Genomic DNA, 25,467 nt, shown 5'->3' with positions numbered 1-25,467 from the left:
TATTTATTTAAGTTGTGGAAGATCTATTTAAGGAAGAATATTAAGCAAATAATAGTTCTGCTGGTTTTGAGATACAGCTTTAAATGGTGATGATGTTCTCAAAGGACAGGGGTGGGAGTCCAGACTCACAGTAAGCTAGAAGCTTCTTATCATGACTTTTCTGGCCTTGGGGAACCTCTAGCCCACCCCCAGACTGGCCCAGGACCCAGGGATTCCAGGTCATCTGCATTCCCTGCCGGACCTAACTCGCATCCAAAGGTGCCTTCCAAATTTCCCCAGACCGGCATTCCCTGGCCTCACTGCCAGCCTGGAATCCTCAGCGCGCTTTGCCCTTATATGCTGCCACCTGGTGGCCAAAGTTGGGAATAACATCTCAGCCCTTCATCCGGAGATGTCCCTGGAAATGGGGTCCCTGGAGAAAGGAAGAGATGGTCTTGGGTCTTGGGGTGGGAGGGTGCAGATGCCTGGCTAGACGCCCGGGGCCTAGGGAGCTTCCCTGCGAAGACGCCCTCTCCCAGGGACTCGCATTCATTCATTCATTCGACAGATACAGAACACCCACTCCGTGCTGAGGCCTGGGTGGAGAGGGTGAGACCCATGCAGTGTCTGCCCTCACAGCATTTCCATTACAGATTGGAAGCACGGAAAATCAGGATAGAGAGATAGAGCGGTGAATGCTGCTGTGAAGAAAACACAGCGGGTACCAGGATGAAAAGTGTGTCCGGTGCAAGGAGGGTGCCGGGGCAGGCCTGGGGGAGGTGGCATTGGAGCAGAGATGTGACTCCAGGGAGCAGAAGCCAGCAGGTACCATTGCAAAGGCCCTGAGGTGATGTTCCAGTTGCTGTTGCTAGGTAACAAACTGCCCTAAAATTTGGCCGCTTAAGACAACCATTTAAATTTTGCTCACAATTTTGTGTATTGGGAATTGGGGCATGGGCTTGGCTGAGTGCTCATGGGAGTCTCAGGCTGCCACAGTCAGAAGGCAGCTGGCACTGCATCACTGGGAGGCTCACCCAGGCCCAGTGTCCCACTGGCTCACACTGGCAGGTGGTGTCCGTCTGGAAGCTCTGCTGGGCAGCGATCCAAGGATCCCCTCAGGGCACCCTTCATTCTGGGGGCCTCCTGGGGCACCCTCCAGCCCTCGGGGCACCCTCTGGCCTGGGGTCCTCCTGGGGGCAGCCTCCATTCTGGGGGTCTCCTTGGGCCACCCTCTGGCCTCCAGACATCCTCGGGGCACCCTCCAGCCTGGGGCCCGGTGTGCTGCTCCCACAGAGCCTGGCTGTGTGGCCATTTTCTGACCTGGCCTGGGGCTGCCTTTTGTTGGTTACCCAAAGATCGCTGAGGCTGGACCAGACTCAGGAGTGGGGCCACACCCACCAGCAGTGCCCAGGAATTTGCGGGCATGTTTTAGAACCACCACCGCCTGTCCCAGGAATAGCAGGGAGGTTCTGGAGTGGGCGAGAGTGAATGGGTGAAGTCAGAGAGGCAGACAGGGAGTCCAGATCCCATGGGTGGGTTTTTCTAAGCACAGAGGGAAGCCGTCCCTGAAGAACAGTTGAATCACAGATGGCACCTCTGCTGCTCTGTGGGAGGCAGGGAGGAGGTGGAGGCCAGGAGAGGAGCCAGAGCTGTCTCTGTGAGAGATGATGCTTTTTTTTTTTTCATGGAGGAAACCGTTAGAAAAATAATACTTCATCTTGTCTGGCACGTATTCTGTGCAAGGCACTATTCTAAGCCCTTCATGTGTGTTATCTCATGTGATCCTCAGATGCATCCTATGAGGTATATAATAGACTTTCATTTTACAGATGAGGAAACTGAGGCAATGAGAGGCTCAGTAACTTACCCAAGGACACAGCTAGAGAGTGATGTAGCCAGGGTTGTTTGAAACTAGCAGTCTGCCATATTTAACTTCTGTGAGATCTTCATTCTCTCTCTCTTTTTTTTTTTTTTTTTTTTTTTGATCTTTTGCCTAGACTGGAGTGAAGTGGCACAGTCTCGGCTCACTGCAACCTCCGCCTCCTGGGTACAAGGAATTCTCCTGCCTCAGCCTCTCGAGTAGCCAGATTACAGGTGCCCACCACCATGCCCGGCTAATTTTGTCTTTTTAGTAGAGACGGGGTTTTGCCATATTGCCCAAGCTGGTCTTGCACTCCTGACCTCAGGTTATCCTCCCGCCTCAGCCTCCCAAAATGCTGGGATTACAGGCATGAGCCACCGCGTCCAGCCAAGATCTTTGTGCTTTTAAATAGTTAGGCAATGTTTGTTTGCTTTTAATTAAACTATTCTGGGGTCACTAGATTTGTGTGCAGTTGTAAGGAAGAAAGATCCCATGTCCCCTTTACCCACTTTCCCCCAGTGCTAAGATCTTGCAGAACCACACTGCAGTAGCCCAGTGGGGATGTGACATGGACGCCATCCACACGACTTCTGCACAATGTTCACCTTTTCACAAATTGGTTGCTGATGTTTAAAACTCAGGAGATTTCAGAAAACCTGCTGGATTTCTGGCTGCTCTTGAGCCATGAGACGTGGGGCGTCCTGTGCAGTGGGCCCTGAGACCAGGTCTTGGTGCAGTTTGTTAAGGGTCTGTCTGTTGGGGAGTGCATAGTGAGCTGGGCAGGGGAAGCAACTGACCGAGGTACAATCTCCCCACCCTGAGGGGCAAGGGACCTGGGTGCTTAGGGGCTGTTCCCTGGGCAGGTGGGGAGGGGCTGCTAATTCTCCATCCCTTCCAGCTGCCCTCTGAGTGGGAAGAAGACACTCAGGGTCACCAGAAGACACCCTTGAGAAGACAGCCGAAGGTGCTGGCCGCTGGCGTCCAGGCTGCACAACTTCTGTCTTGTGCACTCTGTTCCCAGGGCCTGCAACAGCACCTGTCATAAGAAGGATTGAGTGTGGGATGCTTAAGCCTGAGCACCTTTCTGCATGCTCTGTCCCAGGTGGCCCTGGCTGGTGAGGAGCAGAGATGCCACAGGCCCAGTATGAGAACAAACCTTGTCCTTCTTCATTCACACAACACAACACAACACGCCCCAGTCACCAAAGTACATGTGGGCTTTTTCCAGCAGCCAGCTTTTCAGCTGGGTGTCTCCTCCAGCTAGGTGTCCCAGTCAGCTCAACTCTGACACCACCTGCTGGGGATGGCATGAGATCCCACAGGTTGAGGGCTCAGTCCCACAAGATCGCCCCCAACTTCAGATGCTGCAAGCACAGGTTGTGGTCTGTGGACTGTGGTTCTGACCACAGTCTGGCTATAAACTGGGGATTCCAGGGTTCATTTAATTTGCTACTGTGGCTCACAAAACTCAGAGAAACCCTTTATTATTGATGTGTACTGGTTTCTTATAAAGGACATTACGAAGAATATAGATGAACAGCCAGATGGACAAGATGCCCAGGATGAGGTGTGGGGAAGATGCACAGAGCTTCTGTGCCTTCTCTGGGCATGACCCTCTCCAGGAATCTGCCTGTGCTCAGCTGCTGGGAAGCTCTTCTGAACCCTGTCCTTTTGGGTTTTTAGGGAGGCTTCATGACCTACACAACTGACTAAATCATTGGCCTTTGGTGATCAACTCAGCCTTCAGCTTCTCTCTCCTCCCCAAAGTCAGGAGGCTGCTGAAGGTTCCAACCCTCTAATCACAGGTTGGTTCCCTTGTCAACCAGCCCCAATCCTGAGGATATCAGGGATCTGCCAAGAGTCCCCTCGGTAGAACAAAAGAGCTCTGCTCCTGTCACCCAGGAAATTCCAACAGCTTTAGGAGCTCTGTGTCAGGAACCAGGGTCAAAGATCAAACGTTAGAACAAAAGATTCTCCTAGAGTTTCCATCTACCAGGGCCTCAGGAGCTTTGTGGCAGGAACAGGGAAGAGATCAAAGCCTGTTTCTTATTCTATCACAGTCTCACATCACCCCCATTAAGGGCGCCCTCCCTGTGCTGCAAAAGGGCCAGCGTGGATGGGAGGGTGCTAGAGCCAGACCTCTGGGTCCTCAGGGCTCCAATCTCAGCTCCCCCCATGACTGGCTGTGTAACCCTGGGCAAGTCCCATCCCTCTCTCCACCTGTTTCTTCATCCTTAAAATGGGGGCAACGAACCCCTCAGGGCTGACCCACAGGATGCTCTCAGAGGAGCAAGCACTCAGAAGGCAGCTGGGCTTCCACGTGCGGGCCCTGCACTGGGGCTTGCCTAACGGCACTCCACCGCCTTGCAGCTGAGCTGTCCATCGCCACCCACTTGTGTAGACAGGACATGGCCAAAGGCCACAGGGCTGGTCAGGCTCGCACTGGGTACACCCAGGTGTGTTGCTTCCCCCGGACTGCTGGAATTCAGCTTCGGCCACTTCTTGGCTGTGTGAGGGAGACCCGGGCCTTGGTTTCTCCATCCATAGCATAGGGCTCATGAAGAGTGCTTTCTGGCAGAGTTGTTAACAGATTTGGGAATGAGGGTCATCCCTCAGGCAGGTCCTTCAAAAAGAGCTTTGGGAGGGGGTAGAGTGGTGTGCCCCCCAGCGGGAGCTGAAGAGAGCACACTTGCCACTGAGGGCCCCCACTGCACCTGTCACCCAGCCCTCCAGTGGGGAGCCAAGGAGGGCACACCTGCTGCTGGGTGCTCCCGCTCCACCTGTCACCCCACCCCCCAGCAGGAGGTAGCAGGAGGAGGGGCTCTACACTCTGTGTCCGGTTCAGTGTCACATGGCTTCCCATCTCCTCATCATCAAGATGCAGATCCCCACATCGAATGTTTGGTGTGGTGCACCAGAGGGCTGCCACAGCACACCCCAGCATTAGAGCCCCACCCACCCCCAAAGCTGTCCCGGACAGCACAGCCCTCCTGGAAGGGGAAGTGAGCCCAGCCCCCCTCCCCACTGTGAAGCCTGCCCTCCCGCAGAGCAATGTCCTCCCCAGGTCAGCGCTGCAAGTGCCCTACCTGAGGCCAGTGACCCTCCGACCTGCACATGGCTCCCTGCACAGGCCAGGCGCCCAATGAGAGGCTGGAGGAGGTGGCCCTGGGGCTAGAGGTCCCTGCCCTATCTGCCCAGTCTCTTCCTGGCCTCCCCACAGTGCTGGCCTCTGCCTCCATCTCAGTCACACATGTCTAGCCTCCAGGCGCTGTGCTCTGGCCTGCCCCTGCGGCCCCTCCCAGAGAACCGGGGACGCCAGGCTGGGGTGCCCCATGCCCCTGTCAGGACCCCCAGCCTCAGCCCTGTGGAGAAACAGGTAAGCAGTGGGCCCGTGCTCCCGAGGCCTTGGCCTCTAGGCATCCTCCAGGTGGTCCATAGTGAGCACCCAGGCTTCCTGCCCTCTTAGTGGGAGCTGCTCAGCCGCCCACCCTGGACTCCAGGGGCTCCAGCCTGTGCGGGTGCAATGCACAGTGGACTCTGTCTCTTGGATGCAGCCGCCCTTGGGTGCAGGATCGCCGTGCCTGTTTACAGATGAGGACCCTGAGGCTCAAGGTCAGCAGCCGGTCACTGGTGGCACTTTGGCCACCTCCAGTGGGAGGAGGCCTTGGGTGGGTGTGAAGTGTCCCACACCAAGCGCCGCGTCCACCCCAACACTCAGAACGTTTGCACACAGGTCAGCTCTTATTTTCATTTGCAAATGTCCCTCCCGCAAATCTCTGGAGAACGTGCGGCTGCATGGCTGAACCCTGTAGCTGGCAGGCAGTTGCCAGGGAAAGATGGGCTGAGGCCAGTATCCCCTCATCTAACAGCAAAGCAGTCCAGGGATGGTGCACGCTTGCCAGTGGTGCCCTGTCTGGGAACCTCCCTTTTGTCATTTGTCAGCTTGAGATGAAAATGGTGACACCAGGGGGTTGTGGAGAAGAGTAATGAAATAAAGTAGGTGACACGGTTATATAGACTTTCCTCCTACTTTTTACTGGAAACTACTCAAGATTTTCAGAAACAGTAGAGAAGTGGAAACTGCAAACAAGCATAAAGATTAAAAGAGGAATCCTACCTCCCCAGGTAAAGATGGCTGCCCTTTGCACCGGAGCCCACTGGACTTTTCTGGAGCCACCCACAGAGGCCTAACAGGACACAGTGGGGACAGTAGGGGTCACTCAGGGCAGAGCTGGCGCTGGGGAAGGGAGAAAGGGGAAGCAGGTTGGTGGGTGTGGGGGTGGAGGGGAGTTGGGGGGCTAGGAGGATGCTGGGGGTCCTTGTGGGAGTGGGGCACTGGGGGCAGGTGGAGCGGGTGCTGGAGGGAAAGGGAAATGGGGGAGGGGCCAGCAAGGTAGAGTAGGTAGTGGGCACTGGGGGGAGGGGGGAGGGTAGGTGGTGGGCACTGGGGGGTGGGAGGGTAGGTGGTGAGTTCTGGGGTGGGGGGATGGTAGGTGGTGGGTGCTGGGTGATGAGGGGGAGGGTAGGTGGTGGGTGCTGGGGTGATGAGGGTGAGGGTAGGTGGTGGGCGCTGGGGGTGGGAGGAGGCTAGTTGGTGGGTGCTGGGGGACGAGGGGGAAGGTAGGTGGTGGGTGCTGGGGTGACAAGGGGATGGGTAGGTGGTGGGCACTGGGGGGTGGGGGACATTAGGTGGTGGGTGCTGGGGTGATGAGGGGGTGGGTAGGTGGTGGGCGCTGGGGGGCAGGGGACAGTAGGTGGTGGGTGCTGGGAGTTGGGAGGATAGGTGGTGGGTGCTGGGGTGAGGAGGGGGTGGGTAGGTGGTGGGCGCTGGGGGGCAGGGGACAGTAGGTGGTGGGTGCTGGGAGTTGGGAGGATAGGTGGTGGGTGCTGGGGTGAGGAGGGGGTGGGTAGGTGGTAGGCGCTGGGGGACAGGAGGAGGGTAGATGACAGGCACTTGGAGACAGTGAGGGTAGGTGGTGGACATTGGGGGGCGGAGAGGGTAGGTGTCAGGTGCTGGGGGACAAGGGAGGGTAGGTGGTGGGTGTTGGGGGTGGGGGAGGGTAAGTGTTGGGTGCTGGGGGTGGGGGGAGGGTAGGTGGTGGGCACTGGGGGTTGGGGAGAGGGTAGGTGGTGGGTGCTGGGCAGATGAGGGGGAGGGTAGGTGGTGGGTGCTGGGGGTTGGGGGAGGGTAAGTGGTGGGTGCTGGGGGTTGGGGAGAGGGTAGGTGGTGGGTGCTGGGCAGATGAGGGGGAGGGTAGGTGGTGGGTGCTGGGGGTTGGGGGAGGGTAAGTGGTGGGTGCTGGGGGTTAGGGGGAGGGTAGGTGGTGGGTGCTGGGGGTTGGGGGATGGTAGGTGGTGGGTGCTGGGCAGATGGGAGGAGGGTAGGTGGTGGGTGCTGGGGAGTGGAAGGGGGTAGGTGGTGGGTGCTGGGCAGATGGGAGGAGGGTAGGTGGTGGGTACTGGGGAGTGGAAGGGGTAGGTGGTAGGTGCTGGGAGACAGGGAGAGGGTAGGTGGTGGGCACTGGGGGCAGGGGAGGGTAGGTGTTGGGTGCTGGGGAGGCTGGTAAGTGGTGGGTCCTGGACGGGGGCGGGTAGGTGGTGGGTACTCAGGGGCAGATTGCAAGCAGGTGGTCCTGCCCCTTTGCTCCCCTTGGCCCATCTCCCAGTTGTCCAGGTGTTGTTAATGTTTCCTCCCTTTGATCACCTCCCTGCTGGGCGCCAATGCCTCAAACTTCACCCCGGAGCTCAGGGAGGGCCCTGCGGCCTGCACATCCCCTGCGGCGCCCTGTGGCTGTGATCAGCTCCCTGTGGCTGTGATCAGCTCCCGGGGTGTCTTGTGTTGGGAGAAGGTGGCTCCAGGTGGAGGAGTGGCCACCTGGGCTTTGCTGGGTTATGTCCTTTGCTTGAATGTCAGGACACCCTTGGAGTAGGAGCGGGTGCAGTTCTGAGGGCTACGGGCGGCTCCCTGAGTCCTGCTGCTTGACTTCTATTTTCTATTAAATGTGTTTCGTTGATCTTTAACATATGTATTTGAAGACAATTTTATGTGATAAGAAATCGAATGTATAAAAGTGTAAATTCCCCAGTTCACCTTCTGAAGTCACCGGGGCCTTATTTTTTGGCATTTGTAAGCTGAAGATGAAAACAATGACACCAGGGGGTTGTGGAGAAGACCAAATGAAATAAAGTAGGAGGAAATATAGACTTTCCTCCTACTTTTTCTTTACTGAAAACTACTCAGGAATTTCAGAAACACATTCTATGCATCTATGCAGTGCAGAAGACGTCTGTGAACCCTCTTAAAAATACAAGCAGAAGCATCTATACACGTTAGGTTTTTTCAGATTGTTCCTTCGTGGTGCATTTAGAGGGCCCTGTCTTTGAATGGCTGCATAGTGTTTCATTATTTGGATGAACTAACGTGCGTGTCATTCTTTGCTCGTCTTTAACGGAGCTCTGTGACTGGAGTGGGGCCTTTCTTTGCCAAGTTAATCAGGACACTCTCAGCATGCGCCCGACACAGCTCTCACCATGCACAGGGAAACTTCAGTCACACGACTGGAGCAGTTCCCCTGTTAAAAATGTCCTCAGTACCTACCCCCAGGTGCAGTTTCTCCTGGTGACCTTTTCCCCAAATCGACCCCACCCACAGCGCCTGTGCCAGGCATCCAACAGCAGATCCGAAGATGGCCAGCGTCTGTGTCCCCATCACTACCAATGTACTCCCCTCCTGAACTTCTTGAGGGGCAGAGCTCCACAGGGTTCATTTCCAGGTCTCCAGTGACAGCAGCAGATGTTTGCAGAATGAATAAGAGTTGTACTAGGAGCCCTAACTAACATCCCATAAGATTTCAGCCAGCAGGAGAAACTTGACAGGACTTCTTGGAAGAGGTGGCTATAGCAGCTTAGGCAAAGTTCCTAGCCTGGGAAAGAAGAAAGGCCATTTGGAGACAAGGGGAGGCAGTGTGCACAGATGTGGAGACGGAGCTGTCTGAGGTGTGTCAGGGTGAAGGAGGCTCTGTGCAGGCAGGGGCTTGGTATTGAGCTTGGAGAGCCAGACCCAGCCGGCTGATGGAGGACTCTAAATGCCAGGAACAGCATGGCCTTATGAAATGGGTAATAGGGAGCCCATGGAAGTTTCTGAATAGGGGCATACCTACTGCTTAACTATGCCCCCCACAGAGTATAGAGGCTTCTATGGAGGTCCCAGAGGGGTGGGGTGGGCAGAGGCCCAGCTGGAAGAAAGAATGGGCAGCATGGAGGCCCACGAGTGTGGGAGATGACAGTTTTGACAGCTGGGCACTCACACACACTTAGGTGTGCCAGGGGCTGTTCTAAGTACCTCAATTCATTCAGTCTCCAAGGCAGTCCTCCGAGGTGGGTACTGTTATTATGCCCACTTTACAGATGGGGAAAGGGCAGTCAGAGAGCGGCAATGTGCATGTGCCATGTGGCAGGCCTGTGCCACAGCAGCCTCGCAGAGCCACTGCAGCCCATGCAACCCAGAGCGCTGTCCGCACCCAGGAGGCAGTGTGCACAGATGTGGAGAAGGAAGCCTGGCTGCAGCTCCTGGCTGTCAACGTATCCTCGGCCTAGAGCTGGTGGGGACCCTGCTGAAGGCTGCACTAGCAGGGTGCAGGAACAGGAGTGACTCAAATGAAGCCAAGCCATTTGGATAGTGGCCATGGTTTCTGGCAGAAATAGTGACAGTCAGAAACTTTCAGATGGGTGAGGTTTAAAAGTGAGCTACTGCCCCACAAGCTGACTGCCAGGTTAGAATGAAAGTAAGTCCTAGGCTGAACACACACACACACACACACACACACACACACACCCTGCTCTGTGGGCTGAACAACGTTGCAGGCTGGCATCCCTTCATTTCGGTGCTCAGCCACCATGCAGGACAGGCGTGCGCCTGGCACAGGTGCCCTGATGCCCGAGGCAGAGTTCTGTTACTGCCTGTATTAGCTTCCCATGTCTGCTGTAATAAATTGCCACAAGTGTAGTGGCTTAAAACAACACATATTTATTCTCCTGCAGTTCCAGAGATCAGAAATCTGAAGTGGGTTTTACTGGACTGCGATCAAGAAATAGTGCAAGTGTAGTGATGTTGAATCATGCTTGCTCTTTGCTTTCTTAGTGTGTCTTGTAAGCCTCATTTTTTGGCACAACTATTACATACAAGACTATCCTGGTTTATGTTTACATGTTTGAAAAGTTCATTATATATATACATATGTATACATTTTAGAGACAGGGTCTAGTTTTGTCCAAGCTGGAGTGCAGCAACGTGATCATAGGTCACTGTAACCTCAAACACCTGGGCTCAAGCAATCTTCCTACCTCAGCCTCCCGAGTAGCTGGGACCACAGGCATATGCACCATGCCTGGCAATTTTTTATTTTTCGTAAAGATGGGGGTCTCCCTATGTTACCCAGGCTGGTCTGGAACTCCTGGCCTCAAGTGATCCTCCTACCTTGGTCTCCCAAAGTGCTGGGATTACAGGCATTAGCCACCACGCCTAGCCTTATATTTTTCGTAGCATAAACATATAAAAATCCTGGGAGCGCCGTGCTCCTTCTGGAGGGAGCTGGATGAAGTGCCGCAGTGCCGCAGTGCCCATTGTTCCGTGGTCATCAGGAAGCTGTGGGCCCCATCACACCACACAGCCCTTCCTGGGAACAGTGGGCACTGCTCAGCCTGAAACTCCTCCTCTGCTGAGGTTGCCAGGGTGGGTGGAGGCACTGGGCCTCCCTCCAGGCCACCCACAGTCCTGTTGCAGGGCCTTGGCAGGTCACACGACCTGTGTGAGCCCCATCGTCTTGTTTTAATGTGGAGAGCTGCCTCCAGTCCAAGGCATGGAGGATTAAGTCCAGGCCAGTGAGAGTGAGCCTTTCTTCCCCACTTAAAAGAATATTTATTGCATGCCTGTTAGGTAACTCTAGATACAGAGGATGAAGTATTAAACAAAAATAGAAGACAACTTTCATGAACTAAATAAAAACATGAAATTGCAGATAAACAGACAGTTTATCCTGGAAAGAAAAAAAACCCTTGATATAGAATAATCAGCATGAAGACATATCTAGGCTAAATTACTGAATTTCAGCAATAAAGAAAAATTCAATGGTTAGCAAATGGAAATTTTATACAAGGGGAAAATGTGGCAGACAGAGCTTTGGGGCTGTATTTCGGATTTGGAAAAATTGCCAGAATCTCCTTTGCTTAGGGCACAAGTTTGTGCTTCATTTCAGAACAGATTGAGCTTCTTACACATTTCACCTTTAAGAATGGCCGAGTCATTTCCATCAACTGACATGATTTTAAATTCACTAATTTTCACAGAACCTTTGTTGTACTTTTTGAGCTATGTAATTATCTGAACAATGTTTCTAATGCATTTGACACAACTGATTATGAAAGAAGTCCTCCTTGTCTAGCACGTGAGTAAAATGTCCCGTCAAGCCCCGAGGCGGCGGCTGGCACTGCCTTTAGAATAGTGAGGACAGTGGTGTCAGGCTGCAGCTACCACCTAACCAGCAGGCTGTGAAATCAGTTTAGGAGGTGCAGCAGTATTGACTTGAAAGTGAAATGAAAGGAGTTAGAAGAGGATGGATGTATTAGAACCCACGTGGGAAGGTTGTCTTGTTGCATGGAGTATGGGTGTATGTATCTGGGTAGCCATAGGAATTGCTTCCTATGGCTCACGATCAAAAGAGTTCATGTGTGTGTGTAAAATATATGTTGCTTTTGACAGCTTTTTCTTATATGTGCTTGCACTTGCACAGGGTACTTAAGGCCATGTGGGGTCTACTTTCCACCCTGGAGCTTCTGCATTCTACACCATAGCCACAAGCCTCAGGCAGGCCCCTCTCTGGTGCCTGCCTGGGGGTAAGCAGCGCCATCCCCAGAACAGGAGATGGTTCACCGTAAGCAAGAAGAGAGAGGGATCAGTCTGCCTTCATGAAAGGGGCAGGAGGGGGCGATCAGGGAAGGCTTTCTGCAGGAGGTGACACTGTAGATGGGCCTGGGGTGAGAACAGTCTCTGGGTGGGCAACAGGCTTCTGAGTGGAGCAGAGACAAATCCATTTGGGAGGAGGATGGCCCATCGCGGGGCCTCAGAACACCGGGCCTGGAGTCCCAGCCCCGACTGCCTCTCCGCTCTCCTACCCCAGCTGGCGCTGAGGAACGCCCTGCGCTACTTCCCCCCGGATGTCCAGGAGCTGCTGGCCCCAGAGTTTGCCCAGGAGCTGCAACTGTACGGACACATCTACATGTACCGGTTTTGCCCCGACATTGAAATGAGGTCAGCCTTGTGGGTACAGCTTCAAAGGGACCCGAGGGGCAGGCAGCTCCCGCAAGGGACTGTGCTGGGGGCCAGGAACAAGGAGGGAGTCGGCAGTGAGGGGGAAACCCAGTCTGTCCAGACCAGGAGGCAGGGGAGGGAAGATTCTGTGTCGTCGCCTCGGGAGCCGGAGCCCAGCGCTGGCTGCCGCCCTGAGCCTGCCAGAAGATAGGGGCAGCTTCTCAGGTCTCTCAGGCCCGGCCCATCTGTCCTGAGCAGCCAGTCCTGTGCAATTCTGGAGACAAATTGTATACAAAACCCCTTTTAAAAACCATGGCTTGTTTTTCTGCCAGAGGGCAGGGAGAGCTTTGGGGAGCTCTGGCAGTGACTTCAAATACCTCACGATCTCGATAAGGGTCTCAAACCACAGTGTGCACAGCACCCCTGGAGGCCTTGTGGGAACATGGGCTGCCAGGCTTCACCCCAGTTTCAGACCCAGCAGTTCTGGGGTGGAGCTTCGAGTCTGCGTTTCTGCAGTTCATTGTTCTTGAAGGTGCCAGCGGCCCAGGCTTGCCTTGAGTCATCCCAGGGTTGTTCCCTTTAAAGTAGGAGCCACGTTCCTCACTCCAGCCAGTACCTCCGGGCCTGGCACCTGCTGGAGAATTGGTGCCCAAAAGTGTTTGTTGAATGAATGAAAGAACAAATGAATAAACTCTGCTTACCCAGACGGAGAGGCTTCTGGAGAGCAGCCATCAGTTCTGCTTTGCCAGCAGCTGTCTCCCAGGTGGAGTGTGCCAAGTGGGGAGGGAGAGCAGGGTGGGTTGGGGCCTGAACGCCACCTCCCTCAGCCCTAGTGGCTCTGGAGCCCCCACTGTACGTTCCTAGCTAGTTCTGCAGGCCCCGTGTCCGGCTATCCTTGCCTGAGCGGCCAGGGGCTGGGCGGGGCCAGGCTAGATGCTGTGCTTTGGCGGGAAGGGCAGCCTGGTGGTTGGGCTTTCCCTTGCAGGGCCTACCCGATTGAGCAGTACCCCTGCCAGACGAAAGTGGCTGCCGCCATCATGCACATGATTATGAACAACCTGGATCCTGCCGTGGCCCAGGTAATAGCCAGGGAAACCGAGGCCCAGCACTGTCCAGCAGAAACAGAACACGAGACACACGTGTCATGCTTTTAAGCTCTTAATTTTGAGATAATTATAGATTCACAGAAAGTTGCAAAGCTAGTAAGAGAGGTCCCTGGCCCTTCCCTCGGCTTCCCCCAGTGTTTGCATCCGTGTCTATAGTACAGCCTCAAAACCAGGAAGTCACTGTGGCTGCAGTGGACACACGTCCAATTTTAAATATTCTAGCAGCCATATGAAAAAGTAAAAATAAACAAATTTACACTATATTTTATTCATCCTGATATATCAAAAATATTATTTTTTTACTTTTTTTTTTTTTTTTAGAGAGACAGGGTCTCACTCTGTGGCCCAGGCTGGAGTATAGTGGCTTGATCTTGGCTCACTGCAACCTCAACCTCCGGGGCTCAAGTGATCCTCCCACCTCAGCCTCCCGGGTAGCTGGGACTACAGGCACCCGCCACCATGCCCAGATCCAAAATATTATTATTTTAACATGTAATCTATATAAACATTATTAATGAGATATTTTACATTGTTTTTCATCCTGAGCCTTTGAAATCAGGGGTGTATCTATGCAAGGAGCAGAGCTGAAAAGCCACTCATGACTGGTGGCCACCATATTGGGTAGCATGGATCTGGCCCCATGTGCCTGTCTTGGGCACCCTGAGCCAGTCTATAGAGCAGCTGCCCATATTTGAGAATGGAATGCCTCTGGGGTGTGTCCCTGCATTCCTTGGGGGTGATATGTTGCCAGAATGTGACCACTTCGCCTAGTAGGTGGAAACGCCCTAAACCCTGGCCCTGGCCCCAGACCCTGGTCACAGATCAACCCTGCCTTTGACCCCAGGCTGAGTTCCCAGAGTGACCCCAGACCCAGATCTGCCCCTGACCCCAAGCTGAACCCTTGCTCCAGTTGCAGCTGGGGCCGGTGTTCTTGCAGATGTGTCCGTCCCTGGGCCTCACCCTTCTGGCTTCTCTCCTTGTCCCATTGGGCCCCCAGGGGATGGGGGCCCTTTCTCTCCCTGTCTGCAACTCCATAGGCCCTTCCCAGGCCCTCATCTCAGATGACCCCGTGTCTTCCTCAGTTTCCCCAGGAGCTGGTGACCTATGGAGGAAATGGGCAGGTGTTCAGCAACTGGGCTCAGGTACTGCACACCGTGTGGCCTCGTCCCCACCCCTGGCCTTTCCTCTAGTCTGGTCCTCTGGCCTAGGAGCTTACAAACCCACAGCTCAGGATGCAGGCCTCTGCCTCCCTGGTGCCTGAGGCTCCAGCATTGGAGATTGTGTGGGGAAATTTCAGGTTATAGGAATGGGCGAGGTGGTGTTGAGGGAGGCACCAGGGCCACTGGAGTGGAATGGAGACCTGGGGGCCTGTGGGAGCTGTCCAGGCGTGGACGGTGGTGTGGGGCTGGGTGTGGGGTGCTGCTTCTGTTGACAGAATCCCCACGCTCTGCTCTTCCCCCAGTTCTGGCTGACCATGTTCTACTTGTCGAAGATGACAGAGGAGCAGACTTTGGTCATGTACAGTGGGCACCCACTTGGCCTCTTTCCCAGCAGCCGCAGTGCCCCACGGCTCGTCATCACCAATGGGATGGTGGGTCCCCAGCAGGTGGCACAGCACCTGCCCAGGGCTCCAAAGAGAGGGTGCAGACGCTGGAAAGAAAGCCCAGTGCCCCAACGCTGTGCATCATCCCCAGGGCTCTGTGCTCGCCCTCCAAGCCCTCAGCCCCTCTGTCTGCCCCCATCCTCTTCTCCAGGTCATTCCCAACTACTCCTCCCGGACGGAGTATGAGAAGCTCTTTGCCTTGGGGGTTACAATGTAAGTCACTATTTCAGTCTGTTTACACCGTGTTTCCCCGTTAGCCATGGGTCATTATAAAGCAAAGTGGTGATATTAAATACAAGTTTTGAAAGACATAGTCACAGAACTGTAGCATAATTAATTTTATTTTTACATATTCCCTAGTAGTTTTATGTATATGCTTACAAATTTTATATTCTTGAATGCAAGAGAACCTACAAATTTAGATCCTGCCTTTTTCCACATTTTATTATGAACAATTTCAAACATGCGAAAATTGACCGAATTTACAGTGAATACCACCGAATTTCTGTGACGAATGTGCTACTTACCATACTCACTTTATCATGTGGCTATCTGTCCCTCTGCCTATCCATCCATTCAACTTGTTTTTTTTTTTTTTTATGCATCTCACAGTCAATTGAAAATATTACTGACGGGAATTCAACGTTTGTTTATGTTTTTTTTCTTTTGAGGTGAAACTTGCATGTAATAAGATGCACACATCTTACATGCACCACATTTTGGGTTCTGACAAAGTGTGCATCTGTGCAACCAAAACCATTAGGCACAGAATGCGGCCAGTGCCCCAGAGAGGTCTCGCACAGCCCCTCTCAGGGAATGAAAGCTTTTCATTTGTTATAGAGGTAATGCAAACTATTTCTTTTTCTTTCCTTTTTGAGATGGAGTTTTGCTCTTGTTGCCCAGGCTGGAGTGCAATGGTGTGATCTCGGCTCACTGCAACCTCCACCTCCTAGGTTCAAGTGATTCTCCTGCCTCAGCCTCCCAAGTAGCTGGGATTACAGGCATGTACTACCACGGCCAGCTAGTTTTTTGTATTTTTAGTAGAGATGGGGTTTCACCATGTTGGCCAGGCTGGTCTCGAACCGCTGACCTCAGTTGATCCGCCCACCTCTGCCTTCCAAAGTGTTGGGATTACAGGCATGAGCCACGGTGGCCGGCAATGCAAAGTATTTCATTAAGCATTATAAATGGAGCTACACTGAAAAGGAGATCCCTCTTACGTCCTAGATTCTCCAGTTGACAGTGTCTCCTGTGTTCTTCCAAACACTTTCTATGCATGTGGGCTTGGCAATTTAGGTGGTTAGACCATTCGAGCCGGCCTCTGTGCCTTGCCTTTCCCACCTTCACAAGAGAGCTAGGAGATTGCTGCATTTCAGGAAGCAGATCTCATGTATTCTTCCTTTACCTGCAATGTTCAATTGCACTAATTTATTTAACCCTTTTGCCTCCCAATCTGTCTTGCTTCCATGGGCACAGTGCAGGGCCCTGTCCCTCTCTGCCATGTGGTGTTTCCGCCACTCACTTCTCTCGTCTCCGGTGGAGGGGCATCTCAGCAGCTTCAGGTCTTGGCCCTTGTGCCTAAAGTTGCGGTGAACATCCTTGTGTGTGTCTCTGCCTGGCGTAAGCATGTAGTGTGGGCATGCTGCACACATTCAGCTGGAGTCTATACAGCCAAATATTCCCCAAAACAATTCTTCACCAATTACACTACAGTTTTTAACAGAACAAAATCTGCTTGTAAAATGTCTGGAAGGCGAGAGGGGACAAGGGTGTCCATAGCCTTCTTGTGTTCTCTGTGCTCTCTCTATTTTATGTGAAGGAGAATATATTAATGCCTATTGGGTAGTTAAATACTAATTTTCAACCTCCTAAAAGGAGTGGCTGGGAGGACCTGGGCCTGGCACTGGCTGAGCCCTGGGCTTGGCTTCTCTCCCTGTGGTCAGGTACGGCCAGATGACAGCAGGTAGCTACTGCTACATCGGTCCCCAGGGAATCGTTCATGGCACTGTGGTGAGAGATGGGGCCACGCCTGGCTGTGGGCTTCCCAGCATGGGGGGTGGAGGGGGCGGGCTGGGAGTGGGCAGTGAGCCCCCACCTCTTCTCCCTGCAGCTCACCGTGTTGAATGCTGCACGTCGGTACCTGGGCATCGAGGACTTGGCTGGGAAGGTCTTTGTCACCTCTGGGCTCGGCGGAATGAGTGGGGCTCAGGCCAAGGCCGCAGTCATCGTGGGGTGCATCGGTGTGATAGCAGAGGTAAGCTGGGGGGCTCCTGGCCTTCGCTCCTGCCTGCCTCCCTCCCTCCCTCCCTCCCTCCCTTCTTCCTCCCGGATCACTTACACCACAGACCCCCCTTCTCATCCTTCCTTGCCCAGGCCACCCTTGCCTCCTCCACGAAGCCCCACTGGACCTCACTGGGTGGGTTCCCATGGGCGGCATAAGCTTCCTGCTTTCAAAGTGCCCATCACCCTGCATGGGCAATGCCTATCGACTGCCCTCCCACAAAACTCTGACCACAAAACTCTGACCGTCTATTTATGGGTATAGCTTTCCTGTATCCCACCACATCCCTGGAATACAGATGGGAGGGAATGAATGTGTGTGAATAAATGAACTCATAGACTCCCCACCTTGAACAGGTGGGGAGGCAGAGAGGTCACCCTCCATAGAGGTGAGTGCAGGCAGCTTTCCCTCAGTGGCCGCATCATCTTAGTTATTTGAGTTTCTATAAAGGAACACCTGAGGCTAATTTATAAAGAAACGAGGTTTGTTTGACAGTTCTGCAGGCTGTACATGAAGCATAGTGCCCACATCTGCTTCTGTTGAGGTCTCAGAAAGCTTCCACTCATGGTGGAAGGTGAAGGGGGTCTGGTGGGTCACACGGTGAGAGAGGGAGAGCAGGGAGAGGAGAGGGAGGTGCTGGACCTTTTAAACAACCAGCTCTTGTAGGAACAAACAGAGCAAGAACTCAGTCATTACTGCAAGGACTGCATCAAGCCATTCATGAGGAAGCTGCCCCATGACCCAAACACCCCCCATCAGGCCCCACTTCCAACACCAGGGATCAAATTTCAACATGAGGTTTGGGGGACAAATATATCCCAACTATAGTAGGCTCTCGCATCTTTCTTTGGTGGGTGCTAAGGAGAGGAAGGGAAGTCGGAAGTGGAGGAGGCAAGGAGCCTTGAGGCAAGGCTTGGCGATATGTGCCAGTGGGATTTGCACTCAGTTGATGCCAAACCTACATCATACGTACCTGTGCTTGTTAGGAGTGCACCAAGCTGCAGGTAACAAGAAACCTACCTACAGCGGCTTGTGTAAATAGGGTTTTATTTTTCTCACGTAACCAACAGTGTTGGCATTGGTTTGGCAGCTCAATGATGTTAATATCTCTTGATTCCTTTGGGCTTCCCTTGTAGAAACAATGGCTGCCCCTACCCTAGCCATCCTATCCATGTTCAAGGCAGGAAGAGGTGAGAAGGGAAGTGTCTGCTATGACTCTATTTTTTCAGGAAAGTCATGTCTCCAAACCCTCTCCTTTTATCTCATTGGTCAGTCTTAGTTGAAATCGATGTTCTTATCTGCAAGGGAGGATGGAGATCGTGGACAAGTCCTTGTGATTAGCTTGGACGTAGACCATCTCCTGGGGCTGAACCGTGTCACCCTGAACACTACCTGGGTTCTGCTTATAAGGGAGGTGGGAGAAGGAATAAATAGAGGGAGGGCAGCTCATGGTGTCTTCCCTGAGACTGTGTTATAGAAAAGCAAGGGACCTACAGGGGATGACACCTTCCTAGTTGAGGATGATACACTTAGGGAAGATTTGTAACCGGGTGGCCCCATGTCTCGTGGCCCCATGTCTCATGGCCCCAGGTGGATAAAGCAGCCCTTGAGAAACGCCACAGGCAGGGCTGGCTGATGGAAGTGACTGACAGCTTGGACCGCTGCATCCAGAGGCTCAGGTACAGCTCCAAGCTCAACTCCGGACACCTGACACCTGACACGTGGCAGCAGGAGACCACAAGAGGACCCCCATGGGGCAGCTTGGTGTGGGCCTGTTTAATGCCTGACAGCTGGCTACATGTGGGCACCACACATACATGCACATGTACATATACATGCGCACACACACACACACGCACACAAGGGCTGACCCGCGGGTGGTGATAGGGCAGAAGCCTCTGGAAGGGCCTCCAACATTCCGTCATTGCCGGCTGCAGCCACTGGGCTGTGGGCTTGGTGTCAGACACTTGGCCTTGATGGGCTTCAGGTAGCCTTCTTGGGGCTCCCATGCTCTTACCTGGTTCTGCGAAGCATGAATCTTCTTTTCCCTGCTGTGTGGGCTCGCAGAGCCACCCGGCCTGATAGGGGCTGCCCTGCGCTGTTGCAGTGGCGAGCCTGTGAGGCGTGCACTCCCTCCCTGTGCTCCAGGGCAGAGCTTCGCCCACGGTGCTGAGGGGCAGTCGGTGGGTTTCTCCGCCTCAACCCTAGGCAAAGTCTTCAGAGGTATTTCAGTGGGATGGTGGGAAGACTGCCTTGGGGGCTCCTGCTCGGATGCCACTTTTGAAGCATCCTCTCAATTAATTTACTGCCCAGAGCAGAGTCCTGTTACGGGAAGACACATCGGTGCAGTGGTTGCCCACCTGGCTTCAACTAGAATCTCCACAGGGGCTTAAAAGCTGTTTCTGATGAAAATGTAAACAAAATTTGAGAAACGATGCAGTGAACTATTTTGACCTATCATTCTAACATACCAATCCAACCACATTGCACCCTCTTTAGAACTCTCAGATAATTTTTCATCAATGATAGAAGAAATTCCACACTCCAGGTGTGCTGTGAGGGGCTTCCCCGACCTAACTCCCATCCCTATTCAGGCTGTTTAGCATCCTGAGTGTGTGCATGTACACACACACACACATAAACGCACACACATAAACACACACAACATGCATGCACACACATATAACCACACAGACACACCCACATACATAAACACACATATAACACACACATAAACACACAACACACACATGCACATACATACACAGAGAATGCAGCACACACATGCACACAAGCTTGCACACACAAACACACAACACACATGTAACACACATGAACACACTTAACACACATAAGCACACATACACAGAGAACACAGCACACACATGCACACATACTTGCACACACAAACACACACAACATACACATGCATGCACATAAACAGACACATAACACACAACACATACATAGACACACACATAAACAGACACACAACACATGCATGCACACACAGGCACACACAGAGTGCACACATGCACACACATAAACACACACATACACATAAATACAGACACAGACATACACACATGCACACACAAACACAAACATGCATAAACACATAACTCATGCACAAACATAAATACAGACATAACACACACATGCATACACACTAACATGCATAAACACAATACGTATGCACACACATGCACACACAACACACAATGCACATATACATAATAAACACAAACACATAACACACATACATGCACACACAACACATAAACACATGTAAACACATGTACACAAACATGCATGTAACACAAACACACAAACGCACACAACACACATGCACACATGCATAAACATGCACAGAGACACACAGCACACACAAACACATAAACACACAGGCGCACACACACATAAACACACAGACACATGCACACACCATAAACACACACAGACACACACACAAACACACGCAACACACACACGCACATGCCCATAACATATATTCTCACATGCATACATACACATATGCATATACACGCATATATACATATATATGTACAAATGCATGCACATCCACACATGAACACACACACATACACATACATCAAAATCAGTTTAAGGAACTGTCTCGAGCAACCTGTCTGCCACACTTCCGCAACCCCCGAGCTGAGGAAGACCCATGGGAATGGAGTGAGCTCTGCTCACGGTTCCCACAGGGTCCTTCAGCTGGGATTGCAACAAGCCCTGGGCTGGGCCGGCCTCCCTGCTGCCCTGGGACTGTGTGTCCTTTCCTGCTTTGTCAACCTTGCACCCCTGGGGGAGGGGAGGTGCCTGGCTCCCTCGGGCTTCTCCAGGCCACTCCTGGTAAGCATTCAATCTGCTCTTTCATGGGGACCATACCACCTTCCCTGTGCATTGCTGCTTTTTGATATCTCTACTACCTGCAAGGCCTGTTCAAATCTTCTGTTTCCCAAAATATGCTTTGATTTTTCCTGTCCTATTTTTCCGAATAATTTTGGGAATCATCTTTAGTGAATCCTGCAACTCTGGGACCACCTTGGGTGGGTTCTGTAAAGATCCCTGTGGAGGACCCACATCAATAACCCGAATTCCATGGATCGCCCAGGCAGTTTTGCCACTGCCATGTGGGTTTTCTGGTCTGGGGAATTTGGGTCTGGATTTTCCCTTTATAGTTTTGTGTCCTGGACAAAAGTCGGGGTCCTGCAGGCATGCTTCATGGCCCAGCCCCATGGCCCCCACGTTTGCACACAACACCTCTGGTGGCCTCCTGGGTCTGCCCCTGTGTGCAGCTGGGGTGCAGGTGTGTCTGGGGCACCTATGCACAGGTGCAGGGGGCACCTGTTCTGCTTTTGTGTCCTTCCAGGGAAGCAAGGAAAAAAAAGGAGGTGCTCAGCCTTGGTTACCATGGCAACGTGGTGGCTCTTTGGTGAGTGGGGGTTGGGAGTTGATGGCCAGCTTGGGAACCCAGATGGGGCCCCCTGAGCAAAGACCTCAATGCTGACCAGGAGCTGCCAGGACACAAAGCTTTGAGCCCCAGTTCAGCGCCACCCTTGTTGGCCCACACCCTTACCCAAGCTTGAGGCAGCCGTCCCTGCCCTGCCCACAGCCTTCCCGTAGGTTCTCTTTCCAGGGGGAAAGCAGGGTCTGGCTCGGGCTGTGCCTGCTGGATTTGTGGGTGGGAAAATGTGCTAGGGTCCCCACCTGGCTGGCCCCAGACTCTGGGCCCAGGCTGTGTGTGGCTTGCACTGACCACCGCATGGCTTCCCCAGGGAGCGCCTGGTCCACGAATTGGACACGACGGGGGAGTGCTTGGTGGACCTGGGGTCAGATCAGACATCCTGCCACAACCCGTTCAATGGCGGCTACTACCCTGTGCAGCTCAGCTTCACGGAGGCCCAGAGCCTCATGGCCTCCAACCCTGCTGTGTTCAAGGACCTGGTCCAGGAAAGGTGCTACTTGGAGTTGGGGGTGGCAGAAGCATTTGGCCTGGGCAGACCACCTTGTCCTGCTCTGGCCACCACCTAGTTCTCCAGCAACCAGCTGCTTGGCCTTGGGCAAGACCTTAACCTCTCTGAGCCTCTGCCTCCACCCATCAGACGGAGTCATGACACACTTACCTCTCGGCAGTGCAGGGGGACAAGCTGAGTGACATTTGCTGAATGCCCAGTGTAGTCCCGGCATGGCGCCAAGTAGATGCTGGGGTGTGAGACCTCTCTGGGGCATCTGTTTTTCCCCAGGGCCTGATGGGGTTGGGGACCAGGAAATGCTTGTTTAGGGAGTTGCCAGCTGGGCCTTGAAAGGTGCAGAGGTTCTAAACAGATGACAGGGGCAGGGGCATTCCAGGTGTGTGGTGCCGACCCGAGGAGCAGGAGCAGTCCAGGCAGTGGGGCTGGAAGTTGGTGGGGAGCATGGCGGGTGCGACTGAGGGTGCCACATTGGGGAGGCCCCAGGGCCTCACAGCGGTGGTGCTGACCCATGGCTTGTTGCAGCCTGAGGAGGCAAGTCTCAGCCATCAACAGGTTGGCCGAGGAGAAGTTCTTCTTCTGGGACTACGGCAATGCCTTCCTCTTGGAGGCCCAGAGAGCAGGTAGGAGGAAGGAGGAGGGAGGAGGAGGGAGGGGCCACCACCCTGGGCCCAGCCTCTCAGGCCAGTGCCACTGGCTCCCACCTCACTCGGAGGTGCCATGGGTGGCCCAGCAAATCCTGACCGAGGCTTCACTGTGCCTCTGCCAGGCCTTCTGGATGCTGAGGCCCAGCCAGGTGGCTCAGCCTCTCTGGGCCTCAGTTTCTCCATGTGCTTTAGGAACATAAAGTCCCATACGGAGAGCAGGTACAAGACTCAGGTGCAAGCTCCAGTCCCAAAATTGCAGCTTTCCTTTTCTGTGATGGAAACTTCCTTCTGTAAAATGGGCAATTCTTTCATGGGGTATGAGGTTCAAAAGGCACAGTGTCCGCAGTGGGAAGCCCCCCCAGCCCTGTCTACCTCCCTGCAGGTGGCGGGCTCTGGCGCGCTGGAGGCTGACACAGCGTCCATGGCAAGCGCATGCATCCTGCACCTGGCCACACAGACAGCAGCATGCTGGCCACGGCTGCCCCTGCTTTTCTCTTCTTTTACATGAAAAAGACCTTGTGCATCCTTCCCCAGCCTCCCTCTGGGCCCTGTGTTTAAGTTGCCATCTAGGGTGGCCATGGGTGTCCTGCCTTGGGTGGTGACTGTCCGGGCTCTGCCCACAGGAGCGGATGTGGAGAAGAAAGGTGCTGGCAGGACAGAGTTCCGCTACCCTTCCTATGTGCAGCACATCATGGGGTGAGTGATGGGCGGCTGCCACATCTAGTGTGCCCAGTGCCACCCCTGCCCCGTTCAGGGTCTGCGTCCTGGGTATTTAGGTTGGAGAAGCTTCAGCCTCTGACCGCCCCTGAGGTCATGCGCTGAGACCTCCACACTGCCCCAAAGTGGCCAGGCTCTGTCCATGGGTTTTCCACCACAGACAGGCAGGTGAGGAGGAAATGCAGACGAGAGACGCCTCCTGCAGGGCCTCAGTGAGAACAGGGGGCTGCGGGGCCTAGAGGCTGAGGCCACTTCCTGGCAAACAACTGCACCTGAATAATATGTCTTCACAGGCCCTCGTGGGTGGCTGATGGCTGGATCATGAAGCCCAGCACCTGCTGTGGCCCTGGGGGTCGTGGGCCTCTCTGGCCATGGGGGTGCAGGTCTAGGGAAGGCCAGCAGCCCAGGACAAGCAGGGGATGAGGGCGGGAGCCAGAGAGGAGCCTGGGCCAAGCTGAGAAGTCTGGGCTTTCTGCTGGGGGCAGGAGGGACCACATGACTTTTGGAAGATGTGCCAGTCCTCAGTGGGTGCCACATGGGACGAGAGAGAGATGGAGGTGAGAAAGGCAAATGCCACTTACTGTCAAGCTCACTGTGGGGTGCAGAGGTGGGAGGGGCTGAGCACTGTCAGCTGGCACTCTCCGGAGAGGGAGGGCTGCCCAGGAGGAGGCACCCCCTGGCCTAGCAAGTGCAGGAGCCCAGGGAGGGCCCAGGCCACGGCATCCTCCCCCCAGGACAGCCCTGTCCTGGAGCCTGGCTCCTGGGAAGATAAGCTCACCTAGGGCGAGTTCCCCAAGGCTACAGCCCCAGGTTGACTCTCCTCTCAATGTGACTGTCACTTTTAGGTGATGGATTTTCTTGTCATCTGTAACAGCAATTGGGGTCATTTCTGTTTGCCCAGGTCCCAGCTCCCCACTCCTGTAGCTAGAGATGGTACAGCCAGGAGGCAGGGATGGAGGGCTGGGGGCACTGGGACACAGAGAGGGGACAGGGAGGCCCCTGGAACTTTCTGTCCAATGACAGCTTAGGGGGTTCCACACCTGACTTCTGGATGCTGAGCCCTCCTCCCTGGCATGCTCACACCTGCACCCCCTCCCCCAACAAGCCAGCGGGCCCAGGGTGAGGAGGCATCTGTGCTTGCAGGGACATATTCTCCCAGGGATTTGGGCCTTTCCGCTGGGTGTGCACATCGGGGGACCCCCAGGACCTGGCGGTCACAGACGAACTGGCCACATCTGTGCTGGAGGAAGCCATTGCTGATGGAGGTGACGCCATTGGTGGGGATGCCCATGGGTGGGTGGCCCCCCCAAAGCTTCTGCCTCCATAGAGACAAGCTTCTATAGCAGGCCCACCTAGCTAATTCTGGGAGGGAACCTGGGCGCAGATGACTTTGTGAGTCTGGTGGGTGCTCAGCTGGCAACACAAAGGGACTTAAAGAAACTTGAGTGAGTTGCAAAGATCCTGGTCCCCAAGTGTCGTTCTCAGCCGTGGAGGCACAGGCCCCACCCACACCAAGCCTCTGCCCTCCAGAGCTGTCCTGGGCTCTGCCAGTGAGGACCTCTGGCTGCGAGTGACAGAAAGCCCCTCAAAGCGGCTGAAGCAGGACGGTCCAGGGCTAGGGTGGCCAGGCAGCAGTGGCCGGGGCCAGGCTTTCTGGGCAGCCCGCAGCACACCACAGTCCCTCTCAGACCCAGCCTCCCCCTCCACGTGGCCAGGGCAGTGCTGACAGCAGTGCTTCTAGTTCCTTCTTGCTGTCTTCCATGATGAAGCTGTCTCCACATGCTCCCGCCAGCCTTCCACGCCTGCCAGGTCCACAAGGGTCTCCTCTGCATCAGGGTCCCCCATGTTCATCCTGGGTTTTGCTGATGCTGAGTGTTGGTTCTGCCAGAGGGTTGTGTTTTTCCATGTCTACATGGCCTGCCTGGGTTTTAACCAACCTTTGTTCTCGTTGAGTGGGTCTGACGTTGTTGTTT

General features: G+C 54.0%; 1 protein-coding gene across 2 annotated transcripts in view, besides 3 other annotated features; it reads left to right on the top strand.

The window, feature by feature from the left end:
* Positions 2,098 to 2,297: a silencer, noted in NCBI's record as "fragment chr3:126239356-126239555 (GRCh37/hg19 assembly coordinates)". NCBI's record gives its function as "represses an EF-1alpha promoter that drives an FKBP-Casp9 reporter gene in an ReSE screen in phorbol 12-myristate 13-acetate-treated (for megakaryocytic differentiation) K562 erythroleukemia cells {active_cell/tissue: K562(+PMA)}" and the evidence as "EXISTENCE:reporter gene assay evidence [ECO:0000049][PMID:32094911]".
* UROC1 (urocanate hydratase 1) overlaps positions 5,037 to 25,467 on the top strand; it is a 36,608-nt gene continuing 16,177 nt past the window's right edge. The window contains exons 1-15 of one of the 2 annotated variants that reach the window (NM_001165974.2): positions 5,037 to 5,216; positions 12,016 to 12,146; positions 13,132 to 13,225; positions 14,335 to 14,394; positions 14,715 to 14,843; positions 15,007 to 15,068; positions 16,799 to 16,865; positions 16,966 to 17,109; positions 18,727 to 18,815; positions 20,862 to 21,009; positions 21,498 to 21,592; positions 21,936 to 22,115; positions 22,656 to 22,753; positions 23,401 to 23,473; positions 24,638 to 24,759. In NM_001165974.2, the coding sequence (NP_001159446.1) occupies positions 5,091 to 5,216; positions 12,016 to 12,146; positions 13,132 to 13,225; positions 14,335 to 14,394; positions 14,715 to 14,843; positions 15,007 to 15,068; positions 16,799 to 16,865; positions 16,966 to 17,109; positions 18,727 to 18,815; positions 20,862 to 21,009; positions 21,498 to 21,592; positions 21,936 to 22,115; positions 22,656 to 22,753; positions 23,401 to 23,473; positions 24,638 to 24,759 (1,618 nt within the window). In that variant the 5' untranslated portion in view covers positions 5,037 to 5,090. The remainder of the gene's footprint in view (positions 5,217 to 12,015; positions 12,147 to 13,131; positions 13,226 to 14,334; positions 14,395 to 14,714; positions 14,844 to 15,006; positions 15,069 to 16,798; positions 16,866 to 16,965; positions 17,110 to 18,726; positions 18,816 to 20,861; positions 21,010 to 21,497; positions 21,593 to 21,935; positions 22,116 to 22,655; positions 22,754 to 23,400; positions 23,474 to 24,637; positions 24,760 to 25,467) is intronic. The other variant, NM_144639.3, reaches the window with a different exon arrangement.
* Positions 11,692 to 12,614: an enhancer, noted in NCBI's record as "H3K4me1 hESC enhancer chr3:126229039-126229961 (GRCh37/hg19 assembly coordinates)". NCBI's record gives its function as "activates a minimal SCP1, AML or CMV promoter by ChIP-STARR-seq in primed H9 embryonic stem cells {active_cell/tissue: H9 hESC(primed)}" and the evidence as "EXISTENCE:reporter gene assay evidence [ECO:0000049][PMID:30033119]".
* Positions 24,431 to 25,308: an enhancer, noted in NCBI's record as "H3K4me1 hESC enhancer chr3:126216345-126217222 (GRCh37/hg19 assembly coordinates)". NCBI's record gives its function as "activates a minimal SCP1, AML or CMV promoter by ChIP-STARR-seq in naive H9 embryonic stem cells {active_cell/tissue: H9 hESC(naive)}" and the evidence as "EXISTENCE:reporter gene assay evidence [ECO:0000049][PMID:30033119]".

Source organism: Homo sapiens, chromosome 3 (assembly GCF_000001405.40).
Source record: "Homo sapiens chromosome 3, GRCh38.p14 Primary Assembly".
Lineage (NCBI taxonomy): Eukaryota > Metazoa > Chordata > Mammalia > Primates > Hominidae > Homo > Homo sapiens.
Note: the sequence above shows the minus strand (reverse complement) of the source record. Positions and strands in the feature narration are given on the sequence as shown.